Below are 16,437 nucleotides of genomic sequence, written 5' to 3' on the forward strand. Positions count from 1 at the left end.
TTAAAATTAGAAGCAAGTCTGATCAAGAAGTCTCAAGCACAGGCTGAGTAGTAATATTTAAGACAACACTGCTTACTAAAGAAAAGAGTTCAAAGCAAACATAGGAGCAGAATCAAAAAATAAATCCTTTTGATTATAAAAAACAACAGAAGGACTTCTGTTTATGTCTATGTAGTTTGGCTGTGTGGAACAAAATGTTTACCCCCGTTGACTGGCAGACCAAATTTCCTTTTTGTTCTATTTATTTTTCTTTCAGATTTATGACCACTGCCACCAACAAGTTAGGAACAGGGCACACATAACTACAGTTCCTACCAGGCTTTGCTTGCCTGAGATCTTCAGGGAAACTACCCGACTTACCATGGACTCTTTCATAACATTACTTTGCTTAGATATAGTTACCCTACTCTTTAAAAAGGAAACTTCTCATTGATTCTGCCATAGTTCCTTTTCCCCTTTGTTACCAGATTACTGCTGCTTTTACTTTTTCAGCCTCCATTCACTGGAATCTGGCTTCTATGACTAGCATACCGCTCATATGTCTATAAAAAGGTACAAATTCCCTCCCACTTGGCAAATCTAGTATTTTCTTTCATTTAATTTTAACTCTATGGAGTATTTGACACTTTCGACTTCTCATTACTCTAAACTCTTCCTTGGCTTACTTCACCTGGTTTTCTGGCTACTTTTCAAATTTTTCCTTTGAACCTTCATCCATACCCATGTATTTCAGGCATTACTTTATATGCTGATACTTCTTAATTCTGTATATTCTGGCTTTGACCTTTCTGCCGAGTGCTATTTATTAAGCTCCAGTATATATTATTTTATTAATTCTACCTACAGTGAGGTAGAAGCTTATCCCCACTTTAGAGGAGGAGAAGGTAAATATCAGAAAATTCAAATATTTTGCCAAAGGTCACACACTTTATGAGATTAGTAGAACTGAAATTTGAACCCATATCTGGCACCAAAACCTGTAAACATGCTACTTCACTGATTCCAGTATGCAGCCATCTTCTGCTGTGCCTCTCAAACCAGAGCACATGGCAGTATGCTAGGGATGTGTAGCCTAAGGAGGTGAACGTGGAGTGCTTTCCTTGAATGTTCATTTTGCTAAAATATTTGAGAGAAATAAACCTTATTTTTAAGGTAAAATAAGAGTTTTAAAAGAAATTTATACCAGCAGTGGTTTTGCTGCACCCCCAGAGTCTCCATATTTGGTTTCCTCTTCTAGTGTGGCTATTTCAGTGGAAAAGTTAAGAGAAGCACACTCCTAAGCATGCTCACTAGGATGAATTTCCCTTATGCACATCAAACACAGCCTATCTTAAAGTTTGATAGGAAAAGATTGTAATCCAAAAAATTCATCACTATCCAAATTGCCATTTATTTCAAGATGAAGGTAAGTGGTAAACATTCTAAAAGAAAGTGTAGACAGCTCTTCTGTTAATTTGTGTTGCTACAGTAACAACCACGAATCTCAGTGTCTTAAAATTTCTTCCTCACTTCTGTTACATTTTGGCAGCTGCAGGTCAGTTGCTGTGGCTCTCCTTCATGTGCCCATCTGGGTCTAGGATCCTGGGCTAGATAGAGCAGCACGTCTTTGAGAAAAGGGCAATGCTTTTGAAAGCATTTGCTTGATTTTGGTGAACGTTACATCTACTCGTGATCTGTTAGCCACAGCACAGGCAAGGACAAGCCCAAAGTCAGTGGAGTGGGAATGAACTCTTCCTACAGGAAGTGGAGAGTGAAAAATTGTGAAAGTAATACAATCTATCACCTTTGCCTTTATGTAACTTTACATTGTAGGGGGATTTTAAAAGCAGATTCCCTAAAGGCAGAAGTAACAAAGGAAAAGGTTAAATGGATTTGACCATATAAAACTATAAACCCCCTATTTAGGAAAGTAAAAGATAAAGTAGCAAACATTTTAACAAATAATGTCAGAAGACTAATGAGTTGAGGGATATAAATAGGCAGATTCTTAGAAAATGGATAGGGTAAAAAATTTGAAAAATTCTAAAAAAATTAAAATGTATTTGATATGAATTAAAATATATCCATTCAACTATATACAACTAGCCATTAAGAGTAAATAAAGGTGTATTTTTATTAAGATGGGAAGATGTTCTCGGACAAAAGCAGGTTACCAAAGAGTATTTACATTACTATCAGGTTTTTTAAATTTATTATTACACAAGTAAAACATGTTCATTATAAGTAAATTAAGAAACATTACCTAAAAATTGAATTACTTCTAATTTCACCATCTAAAATGTTAACATTCTAAAGTCAGTTTTTTTACTCAAACCAGTACAAAGGTAAATATACATTTTTAATATATTTTTAAGTAATTTTAAACTTACAAAGGAGTTTTAAAAATACAGAGTTCCGGATACCCTTCATCCAGCTTTCTCTAATCTTAGTATATTACATAACCAGGGTACATTTATCAAAAATAAAAGTACATTGGTATAATACCATTAACTGAATTATACATTTTATTTCCCCAGTTTTTTTACTTACATAATCCAGTTTGGGTACCATATCGCATTTAATTATAGTCTCCTTCAGTCTGTGAAAGTTTGTTTCCTTGTCTTTGATGGCCTTGTAACTTTTGAAGAGTAGTGATCTGTTTTCTTTTAGAATATCCCTCAGTTTGCATTTGTCCAGTGTTTTCTATGGATAGATTGAGATAATAGGTTTTGGGGAGGAATTCCACAGAGGTATAGTGTGCCTTTCTCATAACATCACATCCGGGAGCACATACATAATTGGCGATATTAACTTTGATCACTTGGTTAAAGTGCTGTCCAGGTGTCTCCACTGTTGAGCTACCATTTTTCTCTTTGTCCAGCCCATATTCAAGGGGAGGAGAATTAAATTCCACCTCCTAAAAGGGAGAATATGAAAGAAATTTGTGGTCATATGTTAAAACCACCACAGTAATTAGGTGTATTTTAGAAGAAGTACTTGGAGGCTATGCAGATATATTCTTTTCTCTTTAAAGTTTTGCCCACCAGTTTTAGAATTCATCAGTAAATCTTGTCTACAGTAATTATTACTATTTGCTATTCTAATGGGAATTTTGTATATCTCCATCCCTTCTAATATATTTAACAACTGAATTCTATAAACAAGATTTGTTTCTTCTCCACATTATTTATTTTATCAATACAGACACATACTTTGGGAGTTATAATCCAATACTATTGTTATTTATTATGTTGTTCATATTGTTCTAGCTTTGGCTACTGGGATCTTTTATAAGTGTCTTCTGTGTCCTTTTGACATGCCCCATTTTTTTCTTTTTAAGCACATCTTTACTTTCTGAGACTACAAGATTGTCCAGGTTCTCATCTTGTGTTTTCCCTTCCCTAGCCTTGGAATGAGCTGTTTTTCCAATGATCTCTAGTTCCTTTATTAGAAAATGGTGGCCAATATGGTGAAACCCTCTCTCTACTAAAAAGAGAAAATTTAGCCGGGGTGGTGGTGCACGCTTGTAATCCCAGCTACTCAGGCGGCTGAGGCAGAAGAATTGTGCGAACCTGGGAGGTGGAAGTTGCAGTGAGCTGAGATGGCACTACTACTCCAGCCTGAGTGACAGAGTGAGACTCTGTCTCAAAAAAACAAACAAACAAACAAAAAAAAATATATATATATACATACACACACACATACACCTTCATATATGCACACATTCTTATTTCTGTATCTTTATATATAGTTGGCTCTGTTTTCCATAGCCCACATTCAAGAAAAAAAGTAACAATATAACAATTTTTTAAATAATACAAATAAAAAAGTAACCTAGTATAACAACTATTTACATAGTATTTACATTGTATTAAATATTATAAGTAATCTAGAGGTGATTTTAAGTATATAGGGGGATTCATATAGGTTATATGCAAATATAATGCCATTTTATATAAGGGACTTGAGCATCTGTGGATTTTGATACTCATGAGAGTTCCTGGGACCAATCCCCCACAGATACTGAGGGACAACTATATACTTAAATAGGAATACACACTAACATATCTGACTCTAAGCTTTAACCACGTGGCTCATTTTAGACTTCTCTTTGCCTGTTTGTAACTTCTTTCTCCGACAGAAACTTGGCTTATATGTTTGTTTAAATCTACTATACATACAGAAAACTTGTAAGAATTGATAATATGTACCATTGTGAGAAACAGGATTACCAGTTACAGTGCAGTATTTATATACACTTCTTTTTGTTTTTGGCCTAATAGTATTTAGCAAAAGTGCTGTTTTCTAAAGTTACTTCACTCTGCTCCTTTCTCCACCCCTTTCAATGAGGTTATATCATATGATTGTAGTACAGTTAGATTTGTCACAATCTTCAGTCTGGGATTTTCTGACATCCCTAAGTTTTTATCCTTAAATTTGCATATACATAAGTTCACTCTTTGTGCTGTATAGTTTTATGGGTTTTGATAGATGCAGTGTCATGTATCTGTCACCACAATGCCATATGGAACAATTATACTAGTTAACTAACAGTTATATAATACTAAGTATTCTCTTATATCCCTTTGAAGTCAGCTTCCCCCACGCCCTGAAAACCAATGAACTGTTTTCTACCCTTATAGTTCTGCCTATTCCATAATCTCTTATAAATGGTATCTTAAATTATAATTTGTAGCCTTTTAGATCTGGTTCCTTCATCTAGCAAAATGCATTTAAGATTTATTGATTTTGTTGCATGAATCAGTAGTTGGGACTTATCCCAGATAATTCCATTTTATAGATATACTGTGCTTTGTTTATTCACTTTGAATTTCATCCCAGTTATTTCCAGTTTTAGAGAAATAAAGTTACTATCAACACATAAAGGTTTTTATATGAACTTTCCATTAACATGAGTAAATATCTAGGAGTAGGCTGGTTGCATGAAATGTAACTAACTGTATATTTAACTTTTTAAATAAACTGTCCAATTGTTTTCCAAAATGGCTGTACCATTTTATATTCCCACCAGGAATGTATGAGAGTTCAGTTGCTTTGTATCCTTGCCAAAACTTGACATTGTCAGGTTTATTGTTTGTCCCCCAGCTCTAGAACTGGTATAATGGATATCTTATGGTTTTAACTTGCACTTCACTAGTGACTTTTTTTTTTTGAGACGGAGTCTCCCTCTGTCATGTCACCCAGGCTGGAGTGCAGTGGCACCATGTCGGCTCACTGTAACCTCTGCCTCCTGGGTTCAAGAGATTCTCGTGCCTCAGCCTCCCTGAGTAGTCAGGATTACAGGCACCTGCCACCACGTCTGATTTTTTGTATTTTTAGTAGAGACAGGGTTTCGCCATGTTGGCCAGGCTGGTTTTGAACTCCTGACCTCAGATGATCCACCCACCTCGGCCTCCCAAAATGCTGGGATTACAGGTGTGAGCTACTGTGCCCAGCCTTCATTAGTGACTTTTATGTGATTTGCTATCTATATGTTTTCTTTGATGAAATGTCTATTTAGATCTTTTAGTCATTTCTATTGTTTGTTTTCTTTTGTTTTCAGAGACCTTTTTTCCAAATCCTTTGTCAGAGCAAGTATTTTCTTTCAGTCTGCAGCTTTTTCTTTAATTTTCTTAACATTATCTATCTTTTGCAGAGCAAAAGGTTGCCATTTTGATGAGGCCCATTTTATCAGTTGTGTCCTTTTGTACATCATGCTTGTGGTATTTATGAATTTTCTGCCTGGATAGGCCCAGCCCACTTACACACGTCTAGGAGCCTATGGACAGGCCCATTGGTGTCCACATACATCATCTAGGGTGCCTGAGGATTGGTTGGTCCTGCCCACCAGCACCCACTGTCTGGAATCATGAAGGCCAGCTCGCTCTCACTATCACATTGGCCACCCAGAGGCCTGCAGATAGGCCTGCCTGGCCTGCTGCCACCGTAAAGGCCTTTGTGTCCACATACCAGCCAACCTGATGTCCCCATCCTCAGCAAAGCTTTATCACAGCCTCCACTGACAACCGAAGCCTAAGCCACTGAAGAAATCATAGATGCCATGAGAGAATCATAGATACCACCATTGATGACAGTAAAAGAAATCATACAGAGACAACACATCTGAACCCACCTAGAATCAAATCCAGAGCACCCTACCCAGCTAACACTACAGCTACATCTACAGTAAAAGTCTTTCTCTACAAAAGCCAGTCCATAAAATTGGATAAAGCAGCAGTTGCACAGATATCAAGATAAGGACACAAGAAACATAAAATACTGAGGAAACACGATACCTCCAAAGGAACACAATAATTTTCCACTAACAGATCTCAAAGAACCAGGTAATCAATAAAATGCCTGAAAAGGAATTGAAAATAATGATCTTAAGAAAACTCAGCAAGAAACAACAGAACACAGATAGACAATACAAATAAATCAGGAAAACAATTCATGATCTGAATGAGAAATTAAAGAGGTAAATAGTTAAAGAAACAAATTCTGGAACTGAAGAATTTAATAAATAAAAAACAGTCGAGCAGAAAGAATTTCTGAACTTTAAGAGAGAGGTCTTTTAAAATAACCCAGTCAAACACACACTAAAAAGGATGAAGAAAGCCTACATAGGACATCATAAAGCAAACAAATATTTCAATTTTGGGAGTGCCACAAGGAGAAAATATAGGAAAAGGCATAGAAAACCTATTTAACAAAATAATCACTGAAGACCTCCCATGTCTTGAGAGAGAGATATATATCCAGATACAGGAAGGTCATATGTACTAAAACAGTTTATCCAAAAAGGCCTTTCTAAGACACACTATTTTCAAACTCAAAAGTCAAAAACAAAGAAAAAATTCTTATGGAACCAAAAACAGCCCAAATAGCCAAAGCATTCCTGAACTAAAAGAACAACATGGAAGGCATCACACTACCTGACTTCAAAATATACTACAAAGCTATAGTAACCAAAACATAGTATTGATATAAAAACACATAGACCAGTGGAACAGAATAAAGAACACAGAATAAATCTACTTATTTACAGCAAATGTGCCAAGAACATACATTGGGGAAAGGACACTCTCTTCAATCAATGGTATTGGGAAACCTGGATATCTGTGTGCAGAGAATGAAACTAGATACCTATCACCATACCCAAAAATCCACTCCAAGTGGATTAAATACTTAAACATAAGACCCCAAACTCTTAGACTACTAGAAGAAAACATGGGGGAAATGCTTCCTGACATTAGACTTGGCAAAAACTTCATGGCTAAGACTCCAAAAGCACAAGCAACAAAAAGAAAAATAGTTAAGTGGAAATATTAAACTAAAAAGCTTCTGAACAGCAAAGGAAACAGAGTGAAGAGACAACCTGCAGAATGGGAGGAATATTTACAAACTGTTCATCTGACAAGGGACTGATAACCAGGATATATAAGGAACTCAACCGAACAGGAAAACAAACAAAAATCCTATTAAAAAGTGGACAAAAGGTCTGAATAGACATTTCTCAAAAGAAGACATACAAATGGCCAAGAAATATATTTGAAAAGCTCAACATTACTAATTGTCAGATTAAAACCACAATGAAGTATCATTAGATAGAATGGTTATTATCAAAAAGACAAGAAGTAACAAACTGATGAGGATGCAGAGAAAGGTGAACTCTTCCTCTTTGTGTTAGGAAGTATCATTAGTTAGAATGGCTATAATCAAAAAGACAAGAAGTAAACACTGATGATGCAGAGAAAGGTGAACTCTTTCTAACTCTTTGTGTTAGAATTGTCTCAGTGTTGATGAGAATGTACATTAATGCAGCCATTACGGAAAACGGTGTGGAGGTTTCTCAAAAAAACTAAAAGGGCCAGGCGTGGTGGCTCACGCCTGTAATCCCAGCACTTTGGGAGGCCAAGGCGGGTGGATCACAAGGTCAGGAGATCGAGACCATCCTGGCTAACACGGTGAAACTCCTTCTTTACTAAAAATCCAAAAATTCAGCCAGGCATGGTGGCGGGTGCCTGTAGTCCCAGCTACTCGGGAGGCTGAGGCAGGAGAATGGCGTGAACCCGGAAGGCAGAGCTTGCAGTGAGCCGAGATCGCACCACCGCACTACAGCCTGGGTGACGGAACGAGACTCCATCTCAAAAAAAAAAAAAAGGAAAAAGAAAAAAACACACAAAAAATAAAAGAACCACTATATGATCTAGCAATCCTACTACTGGGTATCTATTCAAAAGAAAGGAAACCAGTATTGCATCACTTCACAGTAGCTAAGATAGGGAATCAACCTAAATATCCATCAACATATGAATGGATAAAGAAAATTGCAGTATATATACACAGTGGTATACTGTCAAGCCACTAAAAAGAATGAAAATACATCATTTGTGGCCATGTGGATGAACTTGGGGGACATTATGGGTTATGCAAAATAACTCAAACATGGAAAGATAAATACCACATGTTCTCACTCATGTGGGAGCTAAAAATTTTTTGAGCTTATGGAAGTAGAGAGTAAAATTGTGGGTATTAGAGCCTGGGAAGGGAAGGTGAGATAGGGAGCATGGGGAGAGGTTGGTTAATGGACACAAACTTACATCTAGGTTGGTAGAATGATTTCTGGTGTTCTGTAGCACCATAGGGTGAATATGGTTAAATACAACTTGTGTATTTTCACAAAGCTAGAAGTGAGGATTTTGAATGTTCACAACCCAACAAAATGATAAGTTTGAGGTGATGGATATGCTAGTTACCATAATTTGATCATTACATACTGTATACACATATTAGAATATTACTGCATCTCATAAATGTCTACAGTTATTTTATGTCAACTAAAAATAAAAAGGAAAAAAGAATTCTTTGCCTAAATCAATATCACACAGACTTCGTTTTCCTCTAAAAGTGTTATGTTTTATGTTAGAGTTTTATATTTAGATCTATAATTCCCTCCTGAGTTTACTTTTGTATAAGGTGTGAGGATGTGTCGAGATCCATTTTTTTATATAGGAACATCCATTTGTTCCAGACCATTTGTTGAAAAGACTATTCTTTCTCTATTGAATTGCCCTTGCTCTTTTTTTCAAAAATTAATTGACCATATTTGTGTGAGTCTGTTTCTTGGATATCTTTCCATTGATCTTTGTGTCTGTCCTTTAGCCAATACCATGTTGCCTTGAGTTCTGTATAATAAGTCTTGAATTTGATAATGTGAGTCCTCCAACTTTGTTCTTAAAATTGTTTGGCTATTCTGGTTCCTTTGCACTTTAATGTATATTTTATAATCCGCTTGTTGATGTCTACGGAAAGTGTGCTAGAATTTTAGTTAGGATTGTGTTGTGTCTATAGATCAAATTGTGAAGAAGTCACATCTTAGCAATACTTAGTTTTTGATTCCATGAACACAATATAATCTAATCAGCACATAGATCCTGTACATATCTTACTGGATTTATACCCAAGTATGAACTGTTTTCTGGTTTTTTTTTTTTTTGTGTGTGGGGGTGGGGGGACATGTGCTATTTGAAATGGTATATTCAATTGTTCATTGCTGGTATATGGAAATAAAATTGGCTTCTGTATATTTACCTTTTATCCTATGACCATTCTAAATTTACTTATTAGTTCTAGGAGCTTTGTCGGGGGGGGTGTAGATTCTTTGGGATTCTCTACACAAATTATCATGTCACCTACAAATATGGACAGTTTTAATTATTTCTAATCTGCATGCCTTTTAATTTTTTTTCCTTATTGCAATGTCTAGGACTTGTGCTATGATGTTGAATAGGAGTGGTGAGAGAGGACATCTTTGCCCTATTCTTGATCTTAGGGGGTGTATTAGTTTTCTATTGCTGCATGTCACAAACTGCCACAAACTTACTGGCTTAAACAACACAAATGTATTGTTTTCCAGTTCTATAAGATCAGAGGCCTTCATTGGATCTCACTGGGCTAAAATGAAGGTGTCAGCAGGACTGCATTCCTTCCTGGAGGTTCTAGGTGAAAATGTGTTTCTTTGCCATTTCTAGCTTCTAGAGGCCACCCACATTTTTTGCCTCATGGCCCCCTTTCTCCATCTTCAACATAGTGTTATCTCTGTTCCCCTTCTGCAGTCACATTTTCTTCTGCTTTCCTGTTCTACTTTTAAGAATGCTTGTGGTTTAACTGGGCCCACTCAAGTAACCCAAGATAATTTTCCTATTTTAAGGTCAGCTAATTAACAACCTTAATTCCATCTGCAACCTAATTCCCCTTTGCCATATAAGGTAACATACTCACACACTGCAGAGATTAGTACATGGACACCTTTGGGGGACCTTAAGTAATGTAATAGCTGTAGGGTCTCTGTAAAAAGCTCTTCATTACATTTTTTTAAAAACTCTCTTTGATTTTTAGTTTCTGAGAGTTTTCATCATAAATTGTTGTTTAATCTTGTCAAATGCTTTTCCAGAATCTACTGAGGTGATCGTGTTGTTTCTCTTATTTGGTCTGTTATTAGAGTGAATTACATTCATACTCCAATTTTGAGATATGCATGCATTCCTGGGATGAACCCCCAATTGGTCATGAAGTATCATTTATACATTGCTGGATTCAATTTGCTAATATTTTGTTGAGGATTTTTATGTCTACGTTTATGGCTAATATGGGATTTTAGTTTCTTTGCCGTGAGTTTGTTATTAGGGTAATGCTGACCTTATAAATGAGGTGGAAGTCTTCCCTTCCCTTCTCTTTTTCTGGAAGAGATTATAATATTTGTATTATTTAAGCCTTATATGGTTGGTAGAATTTGCCAGTGAACCCACATAGGCCTGGAGTTTTCTATTTTGAGAAGTTTTTTTTTTTTTTTTTTTTTTTTAATAGATACGGGATCATTCAGACTATTTCTTCTTCAGTGAGTTTTGGAAGTTTGTGTTTTTAAGACATTGGTCCATTTCTTCAAAGTTATCAAATTCATGACCATAGAGTTGTTTGTAGTGTTAGTTTATTATTCTTTTACTGTATGGGATGTCAGTAGGGATGTCCCCCCGCTTCATTCCTAATATTGTTAATTTTTGTCTTTCCTCTCTCTCTGTATTCGCCACCCCTACCCCAGCCACCCTCCTTTTTTTTTAAGTCTGGCTAAAGGTTTATCAATTTTGTTGATTGTTTTTAAGCAACCAAAATTCTTAGTTTCATTAGTTTTCTCCTTAGAATTGTATTGATTTGTACTCTGATCTTTGTTATTTTCTCCTGCTTGCTTTGGTTTTTTTAGTTGTTCTCTTTCTAGTTTCTTTTTTCATTAACTGTAAATTTTTTCCTATTAATATATACCTTTGTCTTATTTCAGTTTCTAAGAAAACTTCTGCAGGTATCTAGTTTCTTAAGACAATAGTTGGATCAGTTTGGCAAATCTTTTGTAAAGGGCCAGATAGTAAATATTTCAGGCTTTGCAGACCAAATGATCTGTCACAACTACTCAACTCTGCCGTTGTAATACCAAAGCAGCGATGGATAATACTGACTGTGTTCCAGTAAAACTTTATTTACAAAAACAAGCAGGGAAGCAAAGTTTGGCAACCCTTGATATAAATAATTGATTTAAGCCCTTTTTTTCTAACATAAGTATTTAAGGCTGTAAATTTCCATTTTAGCATTGGTTTAGCTGTGTCCCACAAATTTTGGGTTGTCATTTTTATTTGCATTCAGTTTAAAAATTTTTTTATTTCCTTTGAGACTTCTTTTTTGACCTATAGACTTAGAAATGTTTAATATTCAATTTCCAAATAATCGAGGATCTTCCCAGGTGTTTTATGGCCCAAGAACATACTTTGTATTATTTTTATTCTCTTAAATTATCAAGTATCATATCAATGTCAGATAGGTGTAGTTGATTATGTCATTCAGGTGTACTGTATCATTTTTAATTTTCTACTTATTCTGTCATCTCTGAGACTCTACTTAGTCTATCATCACTGACAGGAGAGTGTATTAAGGCATTCATCCCTTTGTTCATTTCTCCTTTCAGTTCTATTAGCTTTTGCCTCATACAGGAGAATTACATCTTCCATTTAGAATTATGTCTTCTTAGAGGATAGACCTCTTTATTATTATATAATGTCTTTCTTTATCCCTGACAATATTCCTTCTTCAGAAGAATGCTTTGTCTGATACTAATAAAACTACCCCAGTTGGTTTGTTTTGTTTTTGTTTGTTGAGACAGAATCTTGCTCTGTTGCCCAGGCTGGAGTGCAATGGCAGTGGCACAATCTTGGCTCACTGCAACCTCCACCTCCCTGATTCAAGTGATTCTCGTGCCTCAGCTTCCAAAATAGCTAGGATTACAGGTGTGCGCCACCACACCCAGCTAATTTTTGTATTTTTAGTAGAGACGGGGTTTCGCCATGTTGGCCAGGCTGGTCTCAAACTCCTGACCTCAAGTTATCCGCTCACCTCAGCCTCCCAAAGTGCTGGGATTACAGGCGTGAACCACCATTCCCAGCCTCCTTTTGATTAGTATTTGCATAATATATATCCTTCTCCATCCTTTTTCTTCTCTGTTTATATTTGAAGTGGGATTCTTGTAGATGGCATATACTTAGGTCTTCCTTTTTTACTGAGCTACATGCCTTTTAAATGGTTTAGATCAGGGATTGGCAAACTATGGCACAAGTAGAAATTTTTAATTTTACATTTATATATTTAATTTTCAATTGTCTTCATTTCCTTATATAAATCCATGTTTTAATCTATTATATTTCTGCCTCAAAAACTCTTTTTTACATTTCTTAGAAAATAGATCTTCTGGCAATGAATTCCCTCTAGTTTTGTTTGAAAAAGTTTATTTCATCATCATATTTGAAAGATATTTTTGCTGGGTATAGAATTCTGGGTTTATCATTTTTTTCTTTGAAGTGACAGACTTTAAAGATGTCACTTAAGGCTGAGGTAGGCGGATCACAAGGTCTGGAGTTTGAGACCATCCTGGCCAACATGGTGAAACCCTCTCTCTACTAAAAATACAAAAAATGAGCTGGGCGTGGTGGCACACGCCTGTAGTCCCAGCTACTCGGGAGGCTGAGGCAGGAAAATCACTTAAACCCGGGAGGCAGAGGTTGCAGTAGCCCAGATCACGCCACTGCACTCCAGCCTGGCAACAGAGCAAGACTCCATCTCAAAAAATAAAAAAAGATGTCACTTTTTTTCTTATGATTTAAATGGTTTCTGACAAGAAATCTGTGTGTATATAATGCTCCTTTTCTTCCTCTGCCTCTGATTTGCAGCAATTCAAATATAATATGCCTAGGGATTTTCCCTCTCTTCCCTCCTTCCTCCCCCATCCCCACCATATTTATCTTATTCTTCTTGTGTCTGTGGCTTGGTGTCTGTCATTAATTTTAGAAAATTCTTGGCCAGGTGCAGTGGCTCACGCATGTAATCCCAGCACTTTGGGAGACCAAGGCAGGCGGATCACGAGGTCAGGAGATTGAGAACATCCTGGCCAACATGGTGAAACCCCGTCTCTACTAAAATACAAAAAATTAGCTGGCCATGGTGGCGCATGCCTGTAGTCCCAGCTGAGGCTGAGGCAAGGGAATTGCTTGAACCTGGGAGGTGGAGGTTGCAGTGAGTCCAGATTGCACCACTGCACTCCAGCCTGGCGACAGAGCAAGACTCCATCTCAAAAAAGAAAAGAAAATTCTCAGATATACTTTCTTCAAATATTTTTCCGTCCTGTCCTCCCTCTTCTTCTGAGATTACAGTTATAAATATGTTAGGATGTTGGAGACGGTCACACAGCTTTTTGTTGTTCTGTCTTCAAGTTCACTGATTGTTTCCTCAGCTGTGTCAGTTTTACTTACCAGAACATCAAACATATTCTTTATCTCCATTTCCATTTGATTCCTTTTCATAATTTCCATGCCACTGCTGAAATAACCCATCTGATCTTACATGTTATCCACCATTCCTATTAGAGCCTTTAACATGTTAGTCATACTTAAAATTTGTATCAAGGCTGGGTGCGGTGGCTCATGCCTGTAATCCCAGCACTTTGGGAGGCTGAGGCAGGAGGATAGCTTGAGCCCAGGAATTCAAGACCTGTTTGGAAAACATAGGAAGACACTGTCTCTACAAAAAATAATAAAATAAATTAGCTGGGCATGGTGGTGCATGCCTATGGTCCCAGCTGCTGGGGAGGTTGAGGCAGGAAGATCACTTGAGCCTGGGAGGTCAAGGCTGCAGTGAGCCCTCATTGTGCCACTGCACTCCAGCCTGGGCAGCAGAGCAAGACCCCATCTCAAAAATGAAAAATAGAAGCAAATGCTACTTTTTTCTGAATTGATAGTTACATGAGGATGAAGACATCAATGGAATTACAATGTACTGCCATTTGGAGTTACCTAAAAATAATAATAGCTAACACATCTTCAACATGCTAGGCACTATATTGTGTGCTTTACATATATTAACTCATTTGATCCTCACAAACTTTTTTTTTTTTTTTTTTTTGAGACGGAAACACCTATCACCCAGGCTGGAGTGCAGTGGCGCTATCTTGGCTCACTGCAATCTCTGCCTCCTGGGTTCAAGCGATTTTCCTACCTCAGCCTCCCAAGTAGCTGGGATTACAGGCACCTGCCACCATCCCCAGCTAATTTTTGTATTTTTAGTAGAGACAGAGTTTCGCCATGTTGGCCAGGCTGGTCTCAAACTCCTGGCCTCAAGTGATCTGCCTGCCTCAGCCTCCCAAAGCGCTGGGACCTGGGATTACAGGGGTGAGCCACCACACCAGCCCTCACAAACCTTTTGAGGTAGAAAATATTACCATGTCCTTTTTTACAGTCAGGAAATTAAGGTTAAGTAATAAGATTGTGGCCCTTGACCACACAGAGCTAAAAAAGAATTTACTGGTTTAGATTGAGCAGCTTGCTAAAGAATAATTTTTAATTATTTTTAATCTGTGTTAGATTTTTTTAAATAATTTCATTTTTAATTGTGGTAAAAAATATAACAAAATTGACCATCTTAATGAGTTTTAAGTATTCAGTTCAGTCATGTTAAGTACATTCATATTGTGGTGCAGTAGATTTCCAGAACTTGTTCATCTTGCAAAATTGAAACTCTGTACCCGGTAAACAACAACTCCCCATTTCCTCGTTCCCCCAGCCCCTGGCAGCCACTAATGTAAGTCCTGTTTCTATGAATTTGATTGACTTTAGATGCCTCATAAGAGAAATTACACAATATTTGTCTTTTTGAGACTAGCTTGTGTCAGCATAATGCCCTCAAGGTTCATCTACGTTTTGGCATGCAGAGGGCCTTCCTAAGGCTGAATAATATTAATATTACATTGTATGTATATACCACATTTTGCTTACCACTCATCTGCTGATGGACATTTGGGCTGCTTCCACCTCTTGGCTATTGTGAATAATGCTGCAATGAACATGAGTGTTCAGATATCTCTTCAATACCCTGATTTCAGTTCTTTTGGATCTGTAGCAAAAAGTGGGATTGCTGGATCATATGGTAAATTTTGTTCTTAATTTTTTGAGGAACCTCCATTCCATTTTCCATAGCAGCTGCACCATTTTACATTCCTACCAACAGTACACAAGAGTTCCAGTTTCCTCACATCCTCATCAACAATGGGTATTTTCTGCTGGTGGTGGTTTTTTGATAGTAGCCATCCTAATGGTTGTGAGGTGATACCTAGTGGTTTTGATTTGCATTTCCCTAGTGATTAGTGATGTTGAGCATCTTTTTTTTTTTTTTTTTTTTTCTGAGATGGAGGCTCGCTCTGTTGCCTAGGTAGAGTGCCGTGGTGCAATCTCGGCTTACTGCAACCTCTGCCTCCCGGGTTTAAGTGATTCTCCTGCCTCAGCCTCCTGAGTAGCTGGGACTACAGGCACCCACCACCATACCTGGCTAATTTTTGTATTTTTAATAGAGATGGAGTTTCACCATGTTGGCCAGGCTGGTCTTGAACTCCTGACCTCATGATCCACCCGCCTCTGCCTCCCAAAGTGCTGGGATTACAGGCATGAGCCACCGCACCCAGCCTATATTGAGCATCTTTTTATAGGCCATTTATATATCTCTGGAGAAATCTCTGTTCAAGTCCCTATGCCCATTTTTTAAATTGGGTTATTTTGCTGTTGAGTTCAAAAGTTCTTTATATATTCTAGATTTTTTTTTTCCCTTTCTTTTGAGACAGCATCTTGCTGTCTCCCAAGCTGTGGTATAGTGGCATGATCATGGCTCACTGCAGCCTCGACCTCCCGGCCTCCAACCTCAGCTTCCTGAGTAGCTGAGACTACACGCACACACCACCTAACTAATTTTTAATTGAGACAGGTTCTTGGTTTGTCACCCAGGTTGGAATGCAGGTGGCAGGATCACGGCTCACTGCAACCTAAGACCTCCTGGGCTTAAGCAGTCCTCCCACCTCAGCTTCCTGAGCAGCTGGGA

At 37.4% G+C, this 16,437-nt stretch overlaps 2 protein-coding genes across 42 annotated transcripts in view; one reads left to right on the plus strand and one right to left on the minus strand.

Annotated features, from left to right (window-relative positions):
- Positions 1 to 16,437, plus strand: part of CREB1 (cAMP responsive element binding protein 1) — a 76,027-nt gene that overhangs the window by 49,303 nt on the left and 10,287 nt on the right. For 3 of the 18 annotated variants that reach the window (XM_011510646.4, XM_047443437.1, XM_047443436.1), the window contains one exon: positions 9,899 to 9,984. The exons of 12 other annotated variants lie outside the window; for them this stretch is intronic. In XM_011510646.4, the coding sequence (XP_011508948.1) occupies positions 9,899 to 9,984 (86 nt within the window). Of the gene's footprint in view, positions 1 to 256; positions 4,984 to 9,898; positions 9,985 to 16,437 lie in introns of those variants that run through there. 3 more of the 18 variants (XM_011510648.4, XM_017003399.3, XM_047443438.1) reach the window with 1 other exon arrangement.
- The window catches only part of METTL21A (methyltransferase 21A, HSPA lysine), a 45,419-nt gene continuing 30,352 nt past the window's right edge, over positions 1,371 to 16,437 (minus strand). For 11 of the 24 annotated variants that reach the window (NM_001330133.3, NM_001330135.2, NM_001393572.1 and 8 more), the window contains one exon: positions 1,371 to 2,896. In NM_001330133.3, the coding sequence (NP_001317062.1) occupies positions 2,883 to 2,896 (14 nt within the window). In that variant the 3' untranslated portion in view covers positions 1,371 to 2,882. The remainder of the gene's footprint in view (positions 2,897 to 16,437) is intronic. The other 13 variants (XM_047443497.1, NM_001393567.1, NM_001308021.3 and 10 more) reach the window with 3 other exon arrangements.

This window comes from Homo sapiens, chromosome 2, assembly GCF_000001405.40.
Source record: "Homo sapiens chromosome 2, GRCh38.p14 Primary Assembly".
NCBI classification, from domain to species: Eukaryota; Metazoa; Chordata; class Mammalia; order Primates; family Hominidae; genus Homo; species Homo sapiens.